General features: G+C 50.2%; 1 long non-coding RNA gene across 1 annotated transcript in view, besides 9 other annotated features; it reads left to right on the plus strand.

The window, feature by feature from the left end:
• Positions 1 to 16,877, plus strand: part of CARINH (colitis associated IRF1 antisense regulator of intestinal homeostasis) — a 65,116-nt gene extending 48,239 nt beyond the window's left edge. Inside the window, exon 4 of the long non-coding RNA NR_161242.1 lies at positions 16,500 to 16,877. This is a non-coding gene — a long non-coding RNA (colitis associated IRF1 antisense regulator of intestinal homeostasis). The remainder of the gene's footprint in view (positions 1 to 16,499) is intronic.
• Positions 4,809 to 5,773: an enhancer, noted in NCBI's record as "H3K27ac-H3K4me1 hESC enhancer chr5:131799668-131800632 (GRCh37/hg19 assembly coordinates)". NCBI's record gives its function as "activates a minimal SCP1, AML or CMV promoter by ChIP-STARR-seq in naive H9 embryonic stem cells {active_cell/tissue: H9 hESC(naive)}" and the evidence as "EXISTENCE:reporter gene assay evidence [ECO:0000049][PMID:30033119]".
• Positions 5,663 to 5,732: an enhancer, noted in NCBI's record as "active region_23077". NCBI's record gives its function as "activates an Ori minimal core promoter by ATAC-STARR-seq in GM12878 lymphoblastoid cells {active_cell/tissue: GM12878}" and the evidence as "EXISTENCE:reporter gene assay evidence [ECO:0000049][PMID:35858748]".
• Positions 5,774 to 6,738: an enhancer, noted in NCBI's record as "H3K27ac-H3K4me1 hESC enhancer chr5:131800633-131801597 (GRCh37/hg19 assembly coordinates)". NCBI's record gives its function as "activates a minimal SCP1, AML or CMV promoter by ChIP-STARR-seq in naive H9 embryonic stem cells {active_cell/tissue: H9 hESC(naive)}" and the evidence as "EXISTENCE:reporter gene assay evidence [ECO:0000049][PMID:30033119]".
• Positions 6,924 to 7,425: an enhancer, noted in NCBI's record as "H3K4me1 hESC enhancer chr5:131801783-131802284 (GRCh37/hg19 assembly coordinates)". NCBI's record gives its function as "activates a minimal SCP1, AML or CMV promoter by ChIP-STARR-seq in primed H9 embryonic stem cells {active_cell/tissue: H9 hESC(primed)}" and the evidence as "EXISTENCE:reporter gene assay evidence [ECO:0000049][PMID:30033119]".
• Positions 6,924 to 7,714: a biological region, named in NCBI's record as "H3K4me1 hESC enhancer GRCh37_chr5:131801783-131802284".
• Positions 7,335 to 7,714: an enhancer, noted in NCBI's record as "active region_23078". NCBI's record gives its function as "activates an Ori minimal core promoter by ATAC-STARR-seq in GM12878 lymphoblastoid cells {active_cell/tissue: GM12878}" and the evidence as "EXISTENCE:reporter gene assay evidence [ECO:0000049][PMID:35858748]".
• Positions 14,065 to 14,144: a silencer, noted in NCBI's record as "silent region_16323". NCBI's record gives its function as "represses an Ori minimal core promoter by ATAC-STARR-seq in GM12878 lymphoblastoid cells {active_cell/tissue: GM12878}" and the evidence as "EXISTENCE:reporter gene assay evidence [ECO:0000049][PMID:35858748]".
• Positions 20,105 to 20,154: an enhancer, noted in NCBI's record as "active region_23079". NCBI's record gives its function as "activates an Ori minimal core promoter by ATAC-STARR-seq in GM12878 lymphoblastoid cells {active_cell/tissue: GM12878}" and the evidence as "EXISTENCE:reporter gene assay evidence [ECO:0000049][PMID:35858748]".
• Positions 20,165 to 20,414: an enhancer, noted in NCBI's record as "active region_23080". NCBI's record gives its function as "activates an Ori minimal core promoter by ATAC-STARR-seq in GM12878 lymphoblastoid cells {active_cell/tissue: GM12878}" and the evidence as "EXISTENCE:reporter gene assay evidence [ECO:0000049][PMID:35858748]".

A 21,620-nucleotide genomic window follows, 5' to 3' on the forward strand; every position in this document is an offset into this window, starting at 1 on the left:
CTGTGGTGTCCACAGCTGCCACAGACATTTCCTAACCACAAAAATGGCCCCTTGGTGGTCTCCCCAGAGCTCCAGGCAGTCATGGGGAGGAAGCGGAGGGCCCCATGCCAGGTACTTCCCAGTTTCTAGGCCAACATGAATGGGACACAGCTCATATGGGGTTGTGGTTAGACTGGGGACAGTGGAGCATATGTTCTGGGGACCTGGGTGTGGCCAAGGGAGGCCTCCTGTCTGTGGCCTTTGTCCCAGATTGGAAATCAGCCAGTGGGGCTCTCCTACATGGGTCCAGGCCTGGCTAGCTCTTGAATTCTGTGCGTTTGCATGTGGGTCCTTATGCATGCGTCCTAGAGCAGGGTCCCAGGGGGCCACTCCCCCCCCCGACCCCTTACTCCTCTAAGCTGGGAAACACGTGGCATGAGAGAACACACTGTGGCTTCTAATGACATCGTGTCTTGATTGCATCCCCATTGCATCATCTGGGCTCATCTCATCCCCACCTCTGGACTGTAACATCATCCCAGGGACTGCCGGACACTCATCTGTGCTCCCCCACAGAGAGTATAATGCCATTTGGTAATTCAGTACAGCCTCTTCCAACTTGAGAAAGAAGATGCATTTCCTTCCCTCAGTCTTGAGCTGTGCAGGTGTCACGCTGAGCTGCCCTGTGTGGGCTCCATGTTGGCACACATCGGTTGCAAGGGGCTCTGTGTAGTGAGTCTGGAGTTGGACCACTGGCCAGGCGCTGGGATGCTAGTGCCTGGACTGAGTGTGCACAGAGGCCCCTCAGGCAGAGCCACAGTGGGCGCTGAACCTCCTGGTGAAGTTCACCGCAGTAACTAGAGCTCAGTGGGAGGGGCTGGCCTATCAGCACCTGTCCTGTGTGCTTTTTGAAAAGAGCAGGGTCTACCTTCTGTCAACTGAAGTCCTGCCAGCTGCATGGCATGAGATGAGGGACAAAGTGGCACGTGAACAAAGTTGACATTTTGGAGGCTGTTAGGCTCAGAGCCAACCCTGGGCTCCATGTAGTGCCATGACTCATGGATTCAGGCCCATCTTGGAAATTGCTCTGGGCGTAGAGCTCTCATTTCTGATAGTCCAAGTGCAGATATTGGGGTTCCTCTAATTGGCCCAAATGGTGGCCTGCACCAACCAGCGACCAGAGTGCTGTCTGAATCTAGAATAACAGGAAGAACACGCCTCCAGCAGTGTAGGAGAGTTCCCCATGCAGTGTGCTTCCCATTCTTACCAGCAGTTGGTATCTTCTGTCTTTTTCACACTGGCCATCTGAGTCTCATAAGGAGACTCCTCTCCTTCCACTGAGCCTGCATCCCAGCCTCTCCCCTTTCTTCAGGGACCTCTCCCCAGCAATTACGCCCTTCCATTCTCTCAACCAGGGAATCTTCAAACTCTTCTTCTCCACTGGCTCCTGCTGTGCTCCTGTCTCCATCACCTGTATAATGCTTCCTGCCATCCTGCCTTCCCCGTGGAGTACAGCCATGCTGTCTGCTGCTTACAGCCAAGATTCTGGAAAGAAATGTCTCCTTTTTCCTCGTCATCAACCACTCATTTATTCAGCAAGTGTTTCTTTTACACTTGCCTGTGCTGGGCATGGCAGCAATGCAGCAGTGAACAAAACCATCAGCCCTGCTCTCATGCAGCTTATAATCAAGTAGAGAGACAGACATAAATGATTAATAGATGCTCCTGTAATGGTGGTTGTGAGGTGTGCTGCCACAGCCCAGCCACACACGCCAGTTCCCTTCTCTGCACATGTACATGTCTGCTCATCCTTCCCACCTGAACTCATGTGCCACCTCACTTATGCCCCTTCCCAATGCCGCACCCACACAACAGGGTGTCCCTCTGTGCCCACAGCAGCCCTTGGGTATAACTGTTCCCCACAGAGGCTGAACCCCAAGGGCAGAGTCCAGGCCACACTCACCACGGAGACCCCTGCCTGGCACAGAGCCCAGCCCAGCAGAGATGCTCAGAAGATGAATGAAAGTCCCTGCTGAGATTGATCCAATCTGTTTGTGAACATCTCTGGGGTCCAAGAATTCACGGCTTTCTTTTTCTTTAGAGAGCCTTTTGTTTCTTTTTGCCATTATATACTATATTTGGGTTAGGGCACAACAATGTGAATATACTTAATACTGAACTCTACACTTGAAAATGGTTAAGATGGTAAAGTTTTAAGTTATATGTATTTTGCCACAATTTTTTAAAATGCAGAGCATAGGTACAAAGAAGGAAAAAAAGGGGGCAAGGTCCATTTTATTGAGAAATAAAGAACAAAGGGTTCAATTCAGAGAGGATTGGATTTTAAAACGTAATTTAGATTAGGGAAATGCAAATGAAAACCATAATAAGTAAGATACCACTTCACATCTGTTAGGATGGCTATTTTAAAACAACAAAAACAACCTGAAAATAAGTGTTGGCAAGGATGTGAAGAAATAGATACCCTTGTGCATTGCTATTGGGAACGTAAAATCATGCAGCCTTTGTTGAAAACAATGTGGTGGTTCCTCAAAAACTTAGTTATCATATGATCCCGCAGTTCCACTTCTAGGAATATACCCAAAAGAATTGAAAGCAGGGACTCAAAGTGATATTTGTACACCAGTGTTTGTAGCAGTATTATTCACAATAGCCAAAAGGTGGAAACAACCCAGATGTCCATGACAAGAGGAGTGGATAAACAAAATATGGTGAATATGTACAATGGAACATAATTCAGCTTTAAAAAGGAATGAAATTCTGGTACATGTTATAACATAGATGAACCTTAAAAACATTATGCTAAGTGAAATAAGCCAGACACAGAAGGAAAAATACCAGATGATCCCACTTATATGAGGTACCTAGAATAGTGAAATTCATAGAGACAGAAAGTAGAAGGATGGTTGCCAGGGGCTGGAAGGAGGAAGAACAGGGAGATACTGCTTAGTGGATGCAGAGTTTATGTTGAGGGTGATGAAAAAGTTCTGGAGATGGATGGTGGTGATGGCTGCACAACAGTGAGAATGTACTTCATACTATGGAACTCTGCACTTAAAAATGGTTAAAATGGATGTAGACATTTTATGTCTATTTTGCCATAACAAGAAAGTAATTTGGGTGTATTTTAGAGATTTTAGAAAATACTGTAAGCACAAGAGGAAAAAAATTAAAATCATTCGCAATCACCAGGTAGAGACAACGACTGTTGAAAGATCAGTGTGTATCTTTTCATTCTCGTTCTCTCTCTCAAAAAAGTGTGTGTGTGTGTGTGTGTGTGTCTTCAGATGTCACACTGGACTTTCAGGAAAGGTTCCCCTCTCTGCTGCTTCCCTGCTGGAGCCATGGAGAGCAAGTCTATCCCTGTTCCATAGGTCAATCCTTTGAATGATTTCTCATGGCTGAGTTCACTCCCCTGCACCTCCAGGGTTGCACTTCTCTGAAAATACTCATTTATTTTATGTGTCTACTAAAAACATGGCACCCACGACCCAATAATATGTTGGAAGGGGTTGGAGAGAGAAACGCGAGTACCTCTCACACCTTCTCACACACTACACATCTTAGCGATGGCCGAGTGAGCATGTTGGCTCTCTGGACTCCTCAGTCTGTTGGTCTGGGCTGCGCCAGGCTCAGGCTCCCTGCCTCCCCCCCAACCTTGATCCCCTTGCTTCTTGAACCTGATGCTGGGCCTCACATTCTCCGTTGATTCTAGCTCTTAAATCCTGCTTCTCCAGCTTGTCAGGAGGCTGTGCCCTCACACCCCAAAGAGCAGATCTGCCCTCTCCACTGAGAGGGAAGGAGTGAAGGTCCCACAGCCTCTGACCCCTGCTGGGCCCAAGAGAGGAACAGCTGCTTGCTTTATTTCTCGTGGGAGAAGTGTGTCTCCTCTTTGTCTCAGGCACCCCTCTGCCCTGTACAGCAGCAAGTCAGCAGGAATGAGCTGAGCCGCCCAAGTAGTGGCTCCCTCCACTATGGGGGCTCTGTGGTCCTGGGGGCTGTCCTGCCTCCACTGCCATAGGCCTGGCCCCAGAGCATGCTGCAGTGGTCACAACCTGTGGAGGTGCCCCCAGACCCCCATATTTGGGCCCAACTACAGCCTCCTTCCCCAGCTTTGCCACCTGGCTTGGGAGCCAGGGCACCACCAGCTTCACTGGCAGGGAGAGATGAAGAAAGAGGCCATAGCCACGCAAGTGACTGAAGTTCATGTTCGTGCACACCAATTAGAGAGGGACAGCACGTTCATTTACCTCCAAATCCAGCCACAGACACATCGCCCTTTTCTCTTGGCTCTGAGGCCTCCACAGAAGGGTTTTTTAAGGTTGCAGCCAGGACCTTTATAGCCTAGTCCTGAGAAGATTATCTTTTTATTGCAACTTTGATTAATGATTGATCAAAAACTGATACTAGAAACACTGAAGAACAAATTTGCTGTAGACATTAGGAAAGGTCTACATCTGGCAGGCCTGGAGACCTGCCCACCCTCTCCCCCCACGGTCAAACCAGGGCAAAGGTACATTGGAAGACCCAACCCCTACACACTCTTACACGTGCACTCGCACACACACACTGAGGGGAAAGAAATATTTAATTGTCCTTAAATCCTCTTGGATTAGGCTATAAATTGCAAATAAATGGAGCAACAGACAGAGCAAAAGCACATAAGGTCCTTTAATAGAATTTCTCTATCTTATTCTGTTTCTATGAATGCCTGTTACAAATTAGCAGCTTAAAGGGAAACCTGGAGTGTGGGAAAGAGCGACCCTTGTGTGAAGTCCACAGCCGGGGTTTCCTACAGACCTCAGGTCCCAGAGAACATCTAAGATGCCTCCAACACCAGATGGAGGAGGGCAGGAGATGCTGCACAGAGAAGCAGCACTTCCCGAGCATCTGTGGCAGGAAGTGACTTGGAGAGGATGAGGCCGTGCCTCAGGTGTGCTCTAGCTGTTCTGATGGTCTCTGAGGCCACGACTGCCATGGTGAGGTCCACAGCCTGCATCAGAATCACCAAAGGGCCCAAACGTACGGCCTCAGAGCCTGGAGAGCCAGGAATCGGCATTGCAACAACTCCCTGCTCAGTGGGTTCTACCAGTCCAGTACCTGCCCTCTGAGGGTGCCCAGGGAGCAGGGTGCTTGCTGGCTGGAACACTTTTTCCTGCCCCTCAGCTCCTCTGTGATGCCCTGAGGCACGGGCACTGGAAAGCTGGCAGAGCTGCTTCTAAATTGAAACTGGAAAATGAAACTGGAAATCACAGTTTCATTTTCCAGTTTCACTCGCTCCCCCTACTGTTGGGGTTTCTTTTCCACAAGGAGAGTCCCCCAGGGAGAAAGAAGCAGGAGTGGGAGTGGGGGAGCATGTTGGGGGAAGGCAGTGAGGGTGTCCTGTCTGCAGCAGGGCATGGAGGGGCCCCAGCGCTGCACTTGCTTCCTTTAAGCCTGGCCTGCTTGCTGTCAGCCCCGGGGGTGGTTTCCTCTCTAGGAAAAGCTAATGTCATGCTTATGCTGAAAAACTCTTTTCAGAGGTACTTTAGGAGGGGCCTGGCTCTCGATTAATCTGGGCCATTTCATACCGGCTGTGCTCACCCAGGCACAAACACTGAAAGCAACAGCTGGCAAAGCCATCGCTTGGTAGCAGCTTGGAAGACACCACCAAAGAAGCTCTCATGGAAGCGGCAGATTTCCTGAAGCGACTGGAATGCGGGGAAGGAGGGCAGTCGGGGAGAGCCGAGAACCAGCCCCCCTGCCAACTCCACCCCATTCCTCTCCTCACCTGAAATGTCTCATCCTTAGAACAGCTGCCCTAACCCCCTAATCCCACACACTCCTTTGTAGGTTAAGACCCCTGAAGTTGCACCCTCTCGTAGGAGCTATGTTTTTCAGAGATCCATGTGATTATTTGCCTAATGTCTGCCTCCCTCAGGGAAGTAAAGTCTGTGACGCGTGGACCTGGTCTGTGTTGTTCACTGTGCATCCACAGTGCCTGGGTAGTGCCTGGCATGCAGGAAGTACACACAAAAAATATGTGTTCATGAGTGAGGGCAGGCTTGAAGAGCCCAAGAGAAGGACAGTGCTCCAGGGAGGCGTCTGCATCAGGCTCCCCAGTGTCTGGACTGCATCCCAGCCCCTCCGAGCAACTTCAGGGGAGGATTCTGTGAACAGATGCCCCAGCTCTTCCGCCCACAGCTCCTACCCCCAGCCTGAGGAATGCTTTGACTGTCCCCAGTGTGTGCAGGCAGTGGGGAGGTGATAGGGGGAGGTGTCCCACATGGCACACTCTCCCTAGCCCTTGCTTTGCCTCCGTTACCTACATAGATGGGCTTCACAGCCTCTTCCAGATAGGCAGGGCACTGAGCTCTGTGGGCCACACCTAAAAAGAAAGGGAGACAAGCTGGCGGTGGGGGCATGACAGTGTTTTTGTTTGTTTGTTTGTTTTTTGAGATGGAGTTTCACTCTTGTTGCCCAGGCTGGAGTGCAATGGCGTGATCTCGGCTCATCGCAACCTCTGCCTCCTGGGTTCAAGTAATTCTCCTGCCTCAGCCTCCCGAGTAGCTGGGATTGCAGGCATGCACCATCACACCCAGCCAATTTTTGTGTTTTTAGTAGAGACGGGGTTTCTCCATGTTGCTCAGGCTAGTCTCGAACTCCCAACCTCAGGTGATCCACCCACCTCAGCCTCCCAAAGTGCTGGGATTACAGGCATGAGCCACCGTGCCGGGCTGACAGTGGTTTTTAAAGGGGGAGGGCAGATGAAGGACGTTGGTGGACCATCCTCTGGGAGGAGATGTGGACTGAGGAAGCAACGCTGACCTCAGGCCCCACACCACCCTTTCACCTCAGCCTCACTTTCTCATCAGTAAATGGAACTCGTTCTTGTGTATGTGCCATGGAGGCAATGTAGCAGAAGAGAATAGGGCAGACTTTGGAACTCAGCCATCTGGGAGAAAATCCTAGTTATGTGATGACCTTGAGCCAATGACTGAATTTCTCTGTCTCATTTTCTCTTCTGTAAAATGGGGACAATTACAGTGAATTCTGTGAATTCATTCATGTCCCTGACACATGGTGTGAGCTCAGTCATTACCTTTGCGAGGGTTGCAAGGATGTAATGAGATGGCAGATGTGAGCACAGCTCCCAGACCCGAAGGTGCTGTATGAATGGGAGGGAGCAGTGAGTGTTATTTGGGAAATATTGAAGACACAACTTCCCTCCCACATTTGTCTGGGGTGGAGCAACAGTTTTACTTATTTAATGATAAGCTGGAAGATGCACCAAAGGGAGGTGAAAAACTGAAACCGCCAACCGTTTGAGCTCCAGGCTGCACCGAAGCGGTGTGGCTGGTGCAGATGGTGAGAGCCCCAGTGCCGGCCCACTTCCTCCATGAGTGCCACACGCCTTTCTCAAGCTAGCCGGCTTCCCAAGGCTGCAGGAAGTGGGGCCAGGAACAGGCCCTCCGGCTGTGTTGGGGGAGGCCTGGGCAGGGGTTGGCAGCTGCTGGGTGTGAACGGAAGTCTTGGAGGTCCTTGAAGGTCCTGGGGCCGCCTGCACAGCAGCCCCTGCCCTCTCCCTGTCCAGGCCTGCCCAGGACTAGCTTGTAGCAGACTCTTCTTGTAGCCTAGGCTCTTGCCTCTTGCAGTAGTGAGCCATTGTACAAAAGACATCCAGCGGAGGGAGGCAGGCTGGAGAGGAGGACAGCCGAATCTTTTCTCAAAGGAAATGCAGTTGTGGTTTTGAGACGTTCATATTTCACATCTGTGGTTGGCGTTTCCCAGGGTTCTCAGAGGTGAATGCAGGGTCAGCCCTGTGTCACCAAATAAGGCTCACAGTGACCTTAGCAACAAGCTTTGCTGCCCATTGGCTGTCACTGCTGCCGCCTGCCAATGCGGCCTCCTGAAGGCCAGCACTGATGCTGAGCTGAAACTTCTGCATGTGCCAAGGTCCAGCTGCCTCTGTCAGAAATCACCGTCCTTGGAAGCAGCCACAGATAGGTAGAGAGCTCCGGACAAAGGTGGACAAGGTCAGTGGGAGGACTGTCCAGGTGTCCATGTTTCAGAGTCCACCTGGCCAGCATTCCATTCTCACATAGCACCAAACCAGCACCTTGGTGGCCTGGTCCCAGCTTGCCAGGACAACCCCCCATTCCACCCTGTCAACCTTGAACTCTATAATGGTCATCATTTCATAGCTCTGCTCATTTTAGTTCCACTGGGTTCTCCCTTGTGCTTGGCACTTGACTAAGCTCCTTCTACACATTACATCTTTTACCTCTCTCAACAACCCTGTGAGCCAATTAGCCCCATTTTACAGGTGCAGAAACTGACACCAAAGGAAGTCAGTAATGGCCCAGGTGACTGCACCACTAGTAAGTGGGGAAGTCAGAATTTAAACCCAATTTAAACAGACCTAGATCCCATGCTATTAACCATTGCACTGTATTGACAGACACTCAATGTCCGTGCAGCTCAGTGTCTTCATTCTGTGACATGGGGATGACAGTACCGTACCTCACAGGGTTGGGGTGAGCATTGTGTGGAGTGACTTATGTCCAGAAGCACACCTTTGCACCAGTGGCCTTGGCACCCCCAAGGCATGCTCCACAAACAGCTTGCACATTCCTTTCTCACAGCGTGTGCTGCTGAAACATTGAGGTTTGTGGACCGGACTTCTCTGTAGCCCTTGTATTTAGTTTTCACTTCCTCTTTCTTGACCTCCTCCCACCCCCCACCCAACTGCAAGGTAGGGAGGCTACTGAGGGGCCAGCCTGTGGATTCCAGAGGGCACAGGGCTATCTGGGATGGAGGGGACAGGGTTCTGAAGACAGAAGGTGGGAAGGTCACACTGTAAGGGCAGACATACCCCATTTCTTCTACCTAAACAACTGGGTGTAATACCACTGTTTCCCTGAGAAACACTTTCAGGATTAAAAAGTATATAAGTAAAGAAAATAAAGCATATAAGTGATCTGGTAAAGATGAAAACATGGCTGATCTGAAGGTAGTGAATTATCTCAATTGACTTCACAGTCAGTTACAGATCGAACTCCTTGTTCTACTCTTTTCCCCCTTCTCACTACTGCCCTTGACTAGTCTTTTTTTGTTGTTGTTTTTTGTTTTTTTTTTGAGATGGAGTCTCGCTTTGTCACCCAGGCTGGAGTGCAGTGGCGCGATCTCAGCTCACTGCAAGCTCTGCCTCCCGGGTTCACGCCATTCTCTTGCCTCAGCCTCCTGAGTAGCTGGGACTACAGGCGCCTGCCACCACGCCTGGCTAATTTTTTGTATTTTTAATAGAGATGGGATTTCACCGTGTTAGCCAGGATGGTTTCAATCTCCCAACCTCATGATCCACCGGCCTCGGCCTCCCAAAGTGCTGGGATTACAGGTGTGAGCCACCGCGCCCAGCGACTAGTCTTTAAAAAAATGAATAATATAAATTTTTTTAAAAGATGAAAACATATATATACCCTGTAACCCAAGAGTCCCACTCCTCAGACTCTTCTCAAACCACACTCTTACCCATGTGCACCAGAATACCCACACAGCACCAGAAAATGTCCAAATGACCATCAAAAGTGGAGAGTACAAATAAATTGTGCAGTGTTCCTGGAGTGAAATGAACTACAGCGACTTGCAATAACTGTAATATTGTCATATTGGATAATAATACTGTAATAACAAATGACTCATCAATGAATAAAACCTACAAAAGAATGCATACAGTATAATTCCTTTTAGCAAAAATTTAACAGCTGGCAAAACTGTATTGTTAAGGATACATGCAGAGGAGGTCAAACTACAAAAAGCACAGAATTATTACAAATGTCTACTTATGCAGAAGGGAGGGTTGGGGTTGTGATTAGTAGGGGAACACGTAGGTGCTTTGGGGGTGCTAGTATTGTTTTCTCTCTTTAAGTTTGGGAGATTACCCTGGATTATTGGGTAGAAACTGGGGTGGGTGAGCCCAATGTAATCACAAGCATTCTTAAATGGAGAAGAGAGAGGCAGAAGGGTCAGAAGCAGAAGCAGAAGCAGAGAGATTGCAATATATGAAAGACCTGGCCAGCCAGTGCTGGCTTTGAAGGTGGAGGAAGGGGCCGCAGGCCAAGGAATGCAGGCAGCCTCTAAAAGCTGGAAAGGGGAAGAAAGGAAAGAGATTCTCTACTAGAGCCCCCAGGAAGGAATGCAGCCCTGCTGACACCTTCAGTTTAGCCCAGTGAGACCTGTTTTGGACTTCTGACCTACGGAACTATAAGAAAAGAAATTTGTGTTGTTTTAAGCCCCTAAGTTTATGTTAGTTTATTAGAGCAGCAACAGGAAGCTGATCCACTGGGAAACCATCTGGGATATGCAGCTGCCCAAAATCCCTGCTCGTGGTTAGATTCAGCCTTACGAGGCTCCACAGCCCCTCTGCGAAAGACTCCATTCCCTCTTGGAGAAGCTCAGACTCTAGAGCCCTGGGCAAGGAATGGGCCTTCATGGCATGGGGGCGATCAAGAAGGATGCCCCCCAGGACAGTGACTCTGCTGGACTTCTCTACAGAAAACAGTATATCCCTCAGTGGCATGAGAAGATCCAATAGGGTCACCACACTCCACAACTGCAGGGGACACTGTTCACATTTTAGTCTATGCAGCCTCTGGTGGCCAAAGATTAAATGAGAACACCTTTGCTGTGTGACCTGAAGTTCATGGTCAGTAAATTGTAGCTATTGTTATGCACGACTTAGGGGGAAGCAGGGGTCACTGCAGAGCAGCAGTGGTTTTATAGAGATTTGCTTTATGATTATTTGTTAAACTGAACATATATTCTATGTATTTTTCTGCATAATTATTGTTTCACAATTTTTAAAAAGCATATACACACATGAATCTTCTCTAGCCCCGAACAGCACAGTGAATGGATAGGGCAGCAGATGAGCTCTGCCCCACGCCGGCCCTGTTTCAGAACAGCACTCCAGAGTGCCGCACTGCTTGCTGAACCACAGCTGTTACTGCAGATTGAGGAGCCTCAGAGGGAACAGAAGATAAAGATCATTATGGAATTTAGGATTGCAGGACATTCTTTGACATTTCATAACAGCCAGGGGAGATCAACTGTGGTCAGGGGACAGGGGCAGGAAGAAACCATGGCCAAGGCCTGTCTGGCAGGACTTGAAGGGGCAGAGGGACCCTTGCAAATGACCCTGCCTGGAACCCACCCCCAGTTGGCCCCTGTATAGCACTGATCCAGCTGGGGCTTTTATCCCAGGATACCCTCTTCAGGGATGCCTGTATTTGTTGATTATCTGCCATATGCCTGGTCACTGCAGAATACAAGGAAGAAAATAGCCTTCAGCAGAAGCTGAGACAGGAGCCTAGAGGATGGACAGTAAGGAGTCGAAGGCTCAGGATGAGGCTTTCCTGACTTTCTCCCCTAGAGGACTGATGTTCTCTACTGGTACAGACCTTGTTTTATTCATCCTTATGTCCCTAACCTGGAATGGGCCCAGGGTGACAGTTATAATAAGTGTTTGTCAAGTGAGCAAGTGTGTGGAGTGTGCATTGTAGAGAGTAAGGTCTCTACAGGATCCTGCTGGAGAGGCAGCCCACTGGGCTCACCACTTCTCCAGAGGAGGGACTGGTCCCTTGCCAGACAGCCCTGCCAGCTGGAGCAGGCTTCCTCAGGGGTGCCTGGAGCTGTTGACCATGGCTGTTGCCCTCTGGCCCCTCTTGGGAAGAGCAACCTGTCAGGTGTTAAAGACGGTCTTCATTTCTCTTCTCCAAGTAAACATGACTAGTTTCCATCTCACCATCTTCTGGCCCTCAGCAGACTGGTTATCCAGTCTGGAGAGGCAACAGTAGTATCCAGATGTGATCCGAACAGACAGAACGATGGATGCAGACGGAAAATTCAGGTTTGTGTGCTTCGGCAGTCAGTATATGCAAGTCGTAATGGGGACAGTGGCTGGCATGGCCTTTAGCACTGTGGGAAGGATCAGGGTGTCTGCCCATCATTTTTCTCTCTTTGATAGACACTGTTTACGTAGACACTGTTTTGGTGTAAAACCCTACGTTGTAGCTCTTGTCAACAGTGTTATGTTTCTCCTCAACTGTCCTGGAAACTCCCTGAGGTGGCTGGCTTGTAGGCACTCCATACCTGTTAGCTAGTATTATTTATTTATTGTTTTATTATTTGAATGGACAATCAATTCATGTCATTTAATGAACATGGGCTATGTGCCAGAAACCACCAGGTGCCAGAATACAACACTGAACTACAGTAGGCCTGTCCCTGGGCCCCAGAGCTCCCAGACACACTAGGAAGACTTGTTGATTTAATGATAAACCTTGATTGAGCTCATGATTAACATCTTCACCACCAGACATCATTGAGTGCTCTCTGTGTGTTCAACTCAGAACATACCCTTCCTGCCCTCAGAGGCTGGAATGTGAGAGTCATTAAGGGAGACACCATTGTGGGAGTGAGAAAATCCTGGACTTGGAGGGAACTGACTAGGGATCACCTCCCAGCTCTGCCATGGACCCACTGTGTGACCATGGGCAAGTTACTTGACCTCTCTGAGCCTCAGTTATCTTATCAGTGAAACTGGGTTAATAATATATCTCTCAGTGGCACAGGAGGATCACATAGGGTCACCACACTCCACAACTCCAGGAGATGCTGTTAACATTTTAGTCTATGGATCCTCTGGTGGCCTAAGATTTAAATGAGAGCACTTTTGCTATGTGACCTGAAGTTAATGTCAATAAGTTATAGCTATTGTTATGTACGATGTAAGCAGGGGTCACTGCAGGCCAGAAGGCTGACACAATTTGGCCAGGCTTTGTTCTTCAAGGAAGGGCAGGGCTCTGAGAAGTGCAGACCGTGATGCAGGTGAAGGCCAGGAGGCAGGGACTCCCAGGGCAGGTCTGGAAGGAGCGAGGCTGGTGACGGAAGTGGTCAGCAACCTCAAGGCATGAGTAAGGCGCTTGCCCTTCTCTCCAGGCACAGAGGAGTCACTGGAAGCTGGGCAAAGAGCTGGGATGGATGAGACCAAGGCGAATACTTTACTTATTAAGCTGCAAAGGACCCTAGGGAGCATCTTGTCTTACCAGGCAAACAAAGGCCAGGGAGGGAAAGTAGTGAGTCTCCAGGGTCACACAGCAAGGACCAGGGCCCGCGCCAAGACTCCCACCCCTGCAGAACCCAGCTCAAATGATTCCTTGAGCCCAGTGTGTGGCTCCACAAAAGAAAGTTCCTGGCACTTTTCATATTTATTTATAATTTTTTTTCTGATTATAAAAGTAATTATAGGCCAGTCAAGGTGGCTCACACCTATAATCCCAGTACTTTGGGAGGCCGAGGCAGGAGGATTATGTGAGCTCAGGAGTTCGAGACCAGCATGGACAACATGGCGAAATCCTGTCTCTACAAAAAATTAGCTGGGCATGGTGGTATGTACCTGTAGTCCCAGCTTCTCCGGAGGCTGAGGTGGGAGGATCACTTGAGCCTGTGAGGTCGAGACTACACCGAGATTGCACTAAGCCGAGATTGCACCACTGCGCTCCAGCCTTGGTCAACAGGGTGAGATTTTGTCTCAAAAAATAAGTAAAAGTAATTATAGGTCATCATGGAATATTTTTAAACTATAGAAATATAAAAAATATATAATCACCTGTAATCCCACCATCCAAAGATAATCACCTTTAGTATTGTGATGTATTCCCTCCATCTGTATTCCACAAAAAAATTATATATTAATTAGATTTGAATTGTGTATAGTTTCACATCTCCCTTTTCCTCTGTAAAATTGTGCTTTATGAGAAGGAGGGATTATTTTTAATGTAGAAGAAACTAGAAAACCTTTTTCTTAAAAAAAAAAAAAAAAAAAAAAAAGCAAAGCCCCACAGTCTGTAGTGGTTGGAGGACATCCTGTGGGGCTGCATGGTGGCTCTGTCGCACATCCGGTGTGAGCTGCGGGGCGGTGGCAGTGGCTGGGTCCTTTTCTCCCCTGGCCAGGCTACACCCTTCTGCCTGTGGGTAAGACAGAGTTTTGAAGCGTCTGTGCTCACCCTTTCCTCCCTAACACAGGATGCTGTGATCATTCACCCTATCAAAAGGCATGTGGGGTTGTGATCGTTACTGTTTGCATCTCAAGTTGTGCGGCACAATGTTTTCTCGTGTGTTATCTCACCTGAGACTCACACACCCTGTGAGACAGATAAGACAAATGATGTTATACCCATTTTACAGATGAAGAAACTGAGGCTACAAAAGATCTAGTGGCTTATTTGAGGCCACATAGCTAGTAAGTGGCAGAGTGGGGACTTTTTGCAGATCTGGCTGGCATCCAGTAACTATTTTTTTTCCTCTATACTTTTTTTTCCAGTAGTCCTAGCTTTTCCAGAGCTAAACTGAGTCCCCTTAGTATTCCCTTAGTAAGGCCAAGGACTGAGAGTGTTATGAGTATTGTGGATGTGTGGAGGGGCCATGCAACTCCTTCCTGGGAATCTTAAGCCAAGCCCTGTGGCCTCTGACTAGCTGTCCTAGGTGGCCTGACCTCAGGCAAGCCCCTCCATGACCACTCAGAGCCAGCACCTCAGCTCACTGAGGTTTGGGGAGGGGGCTCAAAGAGGCAGCTGCTTCCTATAGAGAGGTCCAGCAGAGGCACTATCCTGGGGGGCATCCTTCTTGACCCCCTCCATGCCATGGAGGCCCATTCCCTGCCCAGGGCTTTAGAGTCTGAGCTTCTCCCAGAGGGAATGGAGTCTTTCACAGAGAGGCTGTAGAGCCTTGTGAGGCTGAGTCCAACCCACGTGCAGGGATTTTGGGCAGCTGCATCCCCCAAATGGTTTCCCAGTGGATCAGTTTCCTATTGCTGCTCTAACAAATTATCATAAACAGGGGCTTAAAACAACACAATTTTTTATTTATTTATTTATTTTTTTGGATACAGGGTCTTGCTCTGTCACTCAGGCTGGAGTGCAGTGGCTCAATCTTGACTCACTGCAACCTCTCCCTCCTGGGCTCAGGCCATCCTCCTACCTCAGCCTCCCAAGTAGCCAGGACTAAAGGCACGTGCTACCACACCTGGCTAATTTTTTGTATACTTTATAGAGACAGGGTCTCACTATGTTGCCCTGGCTGGTCTCAAACTCCTGGGCACAAGCAATCTGCCTGCCTCAGCCTCCCAAAGTGCTAGGATTACAGGTGTAAGCCACTGCACCTGGCCCGTTTCTTTTCTTATAGTTCTGTAGTCAGAAGTCCAAAACAGGTCTCACTGGGCTAAACTCAAGGTGTCAACAGAGCTGCATTTCTTCCTGGGGGCTCTAGTGGAGAATCCCTTTCCTTCCTTTCCCTTTCCAGCTTTTAGAGGCTGCCTGCATTCCTTGGCCTGCAACCCCTTCCTCCACTTTCAAAGCCAGCACTGGCTGGTCAGGTTTTTCACAATGCGATCTCTCTGGTTCTGACCCTTCTGCCTCCTCCTTCTTCATTTAAGAACCCTTGTGATTACACTGGGCCCACACCAATAATCCAGGGTAATCTCTCTATTTGCAAGTGAGCTGGTTAGCAACCTTAATTCCATCTGCAGTTTTAATTCCTCTTTGCCATGTAGCAACATATTCATAGGCTCATGCATTAGGACGTGGACCTCTTTATTCCACTGTGGACCAATACTCTGCCTTCCACACCTAGCCTCTCTTCTGAGTTTTCCAAGGGCCCCCCATCCTCAGGCATCCTCAGGCATAGACAGCCGGCTGGGCCAGACCACAGTCAGGATGTTCCCGCCACTATCAGAGAGGTCCTTTCTACCTAAGTCCCCTCCCACCTGCCTGCTCCTCTTTCAGCTCGGTCTGTCCTGGATTCCTCTTCCTTCATCCTCTGCTCCCAGTCTTAGGTAGAGAAGAGCTGAGCAGGAAGTGCCAGGGGGTGTGGAGATGGAGGAGGGGGAAGGTAAGGCCTGAGGCACCAGGGCTCTGGGAGCCCAGGGAGCTGAGGCCTTTCAATCCAGACACCCTGCACTTCTCTGGCTCTGGGGCCTCTGGGGACCACACACTCAGCTCCAGGGCTGGAGGGGTGGCCAGCCAAGTATTGGAACCCTTCTGCTTGTACATCCCTAGCTGCCCTTAACAGCCACAGTTCACCTGGCCCTTTTCTTGGGTGATGACAGACTGTCTGCCTTAATTTATTCCCTTTCCCCTGTCCCTCCCTAGGCCTCAGGCTGGAACTTTCAGGAGCTTCCACGGGAGGCAAGGCCCCAGCCAGGCCTCTGTCCCTGGGCTGCTTGGTGTGGGGATGGGGGATCCAGAACCCCAGCAGGAGGGCAGATGGGGAGCACAGGGCAGGAGGGGCAGGACAAAGCCTTTGGCCCTCAGGGAGGGTGACCAACTGGCCCTGGTTTGCCTGGGACTTTCCCAGTTTTAGCACTGAAAGTCCCAAATCCTGGGAAACTCCTCAGTCCTAAGCAAACTGGAACAGTTGGTCAGCCTATCTCCAAGCCTTTTGCACCTCCTAATCTACTCTAGATCACCTCTGCAGCCTGCACAGCCGGGCCTTTGGACTCCTGGATGCTAGAGTGACCTGGGCGCTGAGGAGGGCCCCCGAGCCAGTACCAGGAAAGGATAGACTCCTGCTTGCAGCATTCCCAGCAGAGGCATCGCCTGTGGACACCGCGTCTGTGTCTGTATATGGCAGAGCTCCCAGATATATGCACAAGGGAGTGAAAAAATGTGTTTGCACCCCAGTCTCTAAAAATTCAACAGCCTGGTTACTTCTGGGTGGTATATCGTAGGTGGCTTTAATACGTGTTATTTGCTCATCTGTATTTCTTACTCTTTGCACAATTAAACCATGTTCCTTTTACTTATGTACATTTTTAATAAAAGAAAGTTGTTAATGACTCAGCCTTCTATCTCCAGTACTGCCGAAAAGAGACAAGCGGTCATGCTGCATGTCATGCACACACTGGCCCTTGTTCTGGGGACTTTGACCTTGGCTGCTGGTTGGTCATGGCCTGTTTTGCCCAGGGCTCTACTGCAGGGGCAGGGTTGGTTATTCCTCTGTGCCCTTTTTGCCTCTCAGCCTGCCTGCTCCTCTGGACCCCAGAGTCTAGCCTGGTTCCCCCAGGGGAGGGACTCAGAAAGTGCTACTATAGAGAGATGCTAACTACATCTCTGCTGAGCAGCAGGAGATGCTCTGAAGTGCCAATCCTGGCTGAACACTGTGAGAATATGGAAGAGATAAGCTGCTTGCCCCTGGGGAGCTTCCAGTCTGGTTGGCGAGATTGGGTACCCCGCAGACCCTGTGGGGACTGGCAGACAGGAAGGGACAGGCCCTAGAGGGTGAGGCTTTGCCTGTGAGGGCTGTCACTGGTCAGAGAAGGGAGGGCCCCAGGGCTCCATTGTACAAGTCTTAGGATGGCCAAAGACCAAAAATGGGGTCCTCTTCAGTGACCTGAGGCAGGCCGCACAAGCTTGGGGGTAGATGGTCTCCTGTGCCCAGAACTCTGGCTGCTCGCCACCTATGACAGAAGAATGGTGATGAACACTCACCAGGCTGTTCCAAGTCTCGGAAAGTTGGACACCCCTTCAGGTCCTCCTCCCTGTCCCACCCCACCCCACCCCTACCCCATATGGGAATGCCAGGCTGTAGCCTTCGCTGTGACCCATCCCAACTCCAGCTCCTCTCCCCATCCCAACTCCAGCTCCTCTCCCCATCCCAACAAGCCAAGCAGGAGCACTTGGAGGGGAGCCCTGGGTCCCCAGCAGAAACAGCCCTCCACTGCCTCCACAATCAGGTCATCAGCCCCTGCCCCAGTCCACTGTTGCCCTAGTGTGGCCGACATGACAGGACTTCTTGTAATTCTGGCCTAATGGTTCCCACATCCCCAAACACCAACTCCATGTCCATATGCCTCCCTTGTTACACAAAGTCAGCTTTCTCCAAGAAACCAGAGAAGCACATGATCCCCGCCACACCTCTCCAGGGGCCTCCCTCCTGATCTGAGATCCTCGGTATATCCCATGGCCTCTCTGAGCCAAGGTGTAGCTGAGTTGTGTGGGGTTTTTGTTTGTTTGTTTGTTTAACCACTGTGTAAGAACTCACTACTTGGGCCCCAATTCTGGACAAATTCCAGATTGACAGTGTGAGGGAGAGGTGGTAGCAGAACTGGACACCCCCACAACCTTGTTGCTTTGAAGGAAAGAAGGAGGGCAGAAACAGGAGGGGATCCAGCCAATCCAAGGCATTTGGCCCGAAATGGATGTGAAGACCTCACCCAGGCTGCCCCTCTGGGCTGGCACAGGAGGGCAGGGGAGGGCCTTCCCTAAAGGAAGCCTGCAGGTGAATCCCAGCGCCCGCCTGATGTAAGGTGGCAACTGGCCAGCAGCCAGAGGTGCCAGGTGTTCTCAGGGATCAAGAAACCAGGAATTAGGCCCACCAGAGCCATAGGGTCTGACCCGAGCCTGGTGGCTGGGAATGAGAATGCATCTGTGCATGGTCCTGAGTCTCACAGCCATCCAGGGTCCAGACCTCTGAGGAACTCCAGGACCCAACAGAGGGTCTGGTTTAAAGCAGAACAGGAGACTAGGTTGTCTTGCTGAGACAGAAACATGGCTAAAAAGTCCTCTTTGATCCTGGGAGCTGAGATAAGGCCTAGCAGGCCAGAGTCCCCCGTTTGCTCCAAACAGGCCTGGTGTGGCCAAGCTGCCCCCTGCACTGAGGCCAAGTTACAAGCCTGTCTGTGTCTCGGCCCCCTGGGGCCCCACCCTTCGAAACTGCAGGTGGCCTCCAGGGCATAGGTGGGGCAAACCCTACCCTGTTGGGGCCCTGGGGCCTGTAGCGGCAGAGCCATGTTGCCAGGGGTGTTGGAAGGTGTGTGTGCTGGGGGAAGGGAGGAGAGCTGAAGGCAGGGCAGCACAGCAGCTGCAGCTTTTGCCGCCTTCCCTCAGCATCCACAAGTGCTTGCTTGGCATAAGGTGCTCGGGCCCTGCCCCTTGCTAGCTCTCCCCAGCTTCTTGTGCAGGCCTCCGTGTTCTTCTCTCAGGCAGCCTGATATGGAACCAACCTGGATTCTGGGCACAGATAGATGATGTGGGTTGGAACCAAGGCTCCATACTGATTAGGTGGTGAGAGTTGGTTTCCTGGTCTGTGAACAAGGGCCGTGGTGGGGTGCCAGTGCCGTGGTACACACGTGGTGCTTGGCATAGCACCCAGCACAAAGTGAGCACTCGAGGCCTGTGTTGCCATTATCCAGCCACACTTTGAGGTCTTTTCCAGTTCTGCTCATTTGTGAGCTTGTGGGATCATCTCCTTGGGTGAGGAATGGTGGGCTGGACGTCTGCCTCCCCTCTTTCATTCAGTCCCCATGTCCTTGCTCCATAGCCTCCAGTATCTCCCCAGCTGAAGTTTCACTCAGCAGACTCTGCAGGCTTGTGTCTTACCACTGAGCCAGCAGAGGTGGACTTCTGTAACTCCTTACCCTGAGAAAACCAGCATAAATGGGTCTCTTGAGAGCTGCCTGGAGCTAGGAAAACTATGCGGCCAGCCAGCTATACCCTTCTGAGGCCTTAGACTTGGCCCCACAAGGGAGCTCCGGATGATAAAGCCAAGCTCCACCCTGCCAAGTACTTTCACCCCTGGAAAAGGAGGGCACCAGCTTCCCCTTCTCCCACCCCAGGCCTCCTTCCTCTGTGACAGCCAGCAGAACTGGGGAAAGGTTAGTGCTGAGTTCTGATGAATTGGAAGATCAGTTGTGCCCAAGTTAAGGAACAGCATTACATCTGACAGAGACAAAAGCTTTCTATAGGGTCACTATATTAGCCCTGGGTGCTCCAACAGGACTGCCTGGAGGACATCTGTACCCCCTTTCCCCTCCAAGTATAAGGGCAGAGTTTTGGATCTGTACACAGTGTGAAAGATCAAGTGGTCCCAGAGAATGACAACCTGGCTGTTTCCCAGCCCCACCAACCAGGAGACATCACTCCTAGAGAAAAAAACTCCACTTCCCAGGGCTACCCCAGGATTTCAGTTCCCACTTTGGCAGGCCCCACTGGAGACTTCCAGAAAAATCAGAGAAAGCTCTTTCCTTTGGAGTTGTAATGGTCACAACACCCTGCACACAGTGCACTGAGAGATGTTGAAAGCTGACACACCAAGAAGGGATGGTTTGCCTATTAGCTTCTAGCTTTCTTCCTATTGCCAAGTGAGCTGAATGAATAAACCAGCCCAATGAAAGTGACCAGCCAGCTATACCCTTTTGGAGTTAAGGCAAGGAAACCCATGACTAACCACAAATGCCCGCAAATGTCTGTAAACTTGGCCCAACATGAGAAATCTAGCTGGTGTGGCTGAGCACCACTTTTGTCAGTTTACCCCAGTGGAAAGTGGTCCTTGATGACAGTTATCTCATCACAACCCCAGCAAAACAGATCTTTCAACAACCTCCTAGCTCCCTCAACCTAGAACTTCCACCATTAGTGCTTATACTGAAACTCTTGAGAATGACCCACAGAAGCACTGTCAGGTCCTTAGAATGATCTAATTATTAAGCACAAACTTGGTTCAGATCTTACTAATACTGCTCCGTTTCAGGCACTGTTTGGCTAATGACTCGGTAGTGTCAGCTGCCATCACCTTTAGGTGAGCTGTCAGACCTTATTTAGTTTCTTTTCCTAGGAAAAGGCTGAAGTCTTGGTAGGATGTGATGGGACAGCTCTCCATCCTGAAAGGTCTGGCTCTATCCCACACTACTCCAGGCTTGGTCCCTAGGACCCAGCTCCATTGTGATGGGGGCCAGGGGAGAGTTTTGAGGTCCCTCCCTGGAGATTCCAAGCAATTGCTACCAATCATTTAGGACTCCTGGGATCAGAGGGGATGGGGAAATTGAGGACTACATCTTGGTTGTGGAGATTGGAAGCTGATGGACATAATTCCTCTCTCTTTTTGGTAATTTACAAGCAATTAACTTTGCTTTTAGAACTTGAGAGATTTCCACAGCTGCCTAAGACTTCACATACTCACTGCCTACCCTCCATCAGGGATTAGATTGAAGGGCAGGAGAAAAAGAAGTCAGAGCTGCTGCTTGTTCTGGGTGGTATCACTTTCCTCCCGTCAGTCCACTCTACCTTGCTCTGCACCACCTGCCATCACCCACTAGGAGAACCCAGATGGAAGCCACAGGTGGCTAGCCACCTCAATCCAAATCTTAAAAAGGGCTGGTCCCTGAAGGAGCTGGAAAAGTCCATCCTGTCTATTCCTCTGTTCCCAGGTGAAGCTATTCTTGAGAAATCCAAGTGGAGCTTCCAAGTAGAACTTCTTTTTTTTTTTTTTTTTTGAGACAGAGTCTCGCTCTGTTGCCCAGGCTAGAGTGCAGTGGCGTGATCTCAGCTCACTGCAACCTCCACCTCCTGGGTTCAAGTGATTGGCCTGCCTCAGCCTCCCTAGTAGCTGGAATTACAGGCATGCACCACCACGCCTGGTTAGTTTTTTTTTAGTAGAGACAGGGTTTCACCATGTTGCCCAGCCTGGTTTTGAACTCCTGAACTCAGGCAATCCACCTGCCTCGGCCTCCCAAAGTGCCAAGATTACAAGTGTGAGCCACCGCGCTCGGCCCAAGGGGAGCTTCTGACAAGCAGGGCCTGGGATAG

Source organism: Homo sapiens, chromosome 5, assembly GCF_000001405.40.
Source record: "Homo sapiens chromosome 5, GRCh38.p14 Primary Assembly".
Lineage (NCBI taxonomy): Eukaryota > Metazoa > Chordata > Mammalia > Primates > Hominidae > Homo > Homo sapiens.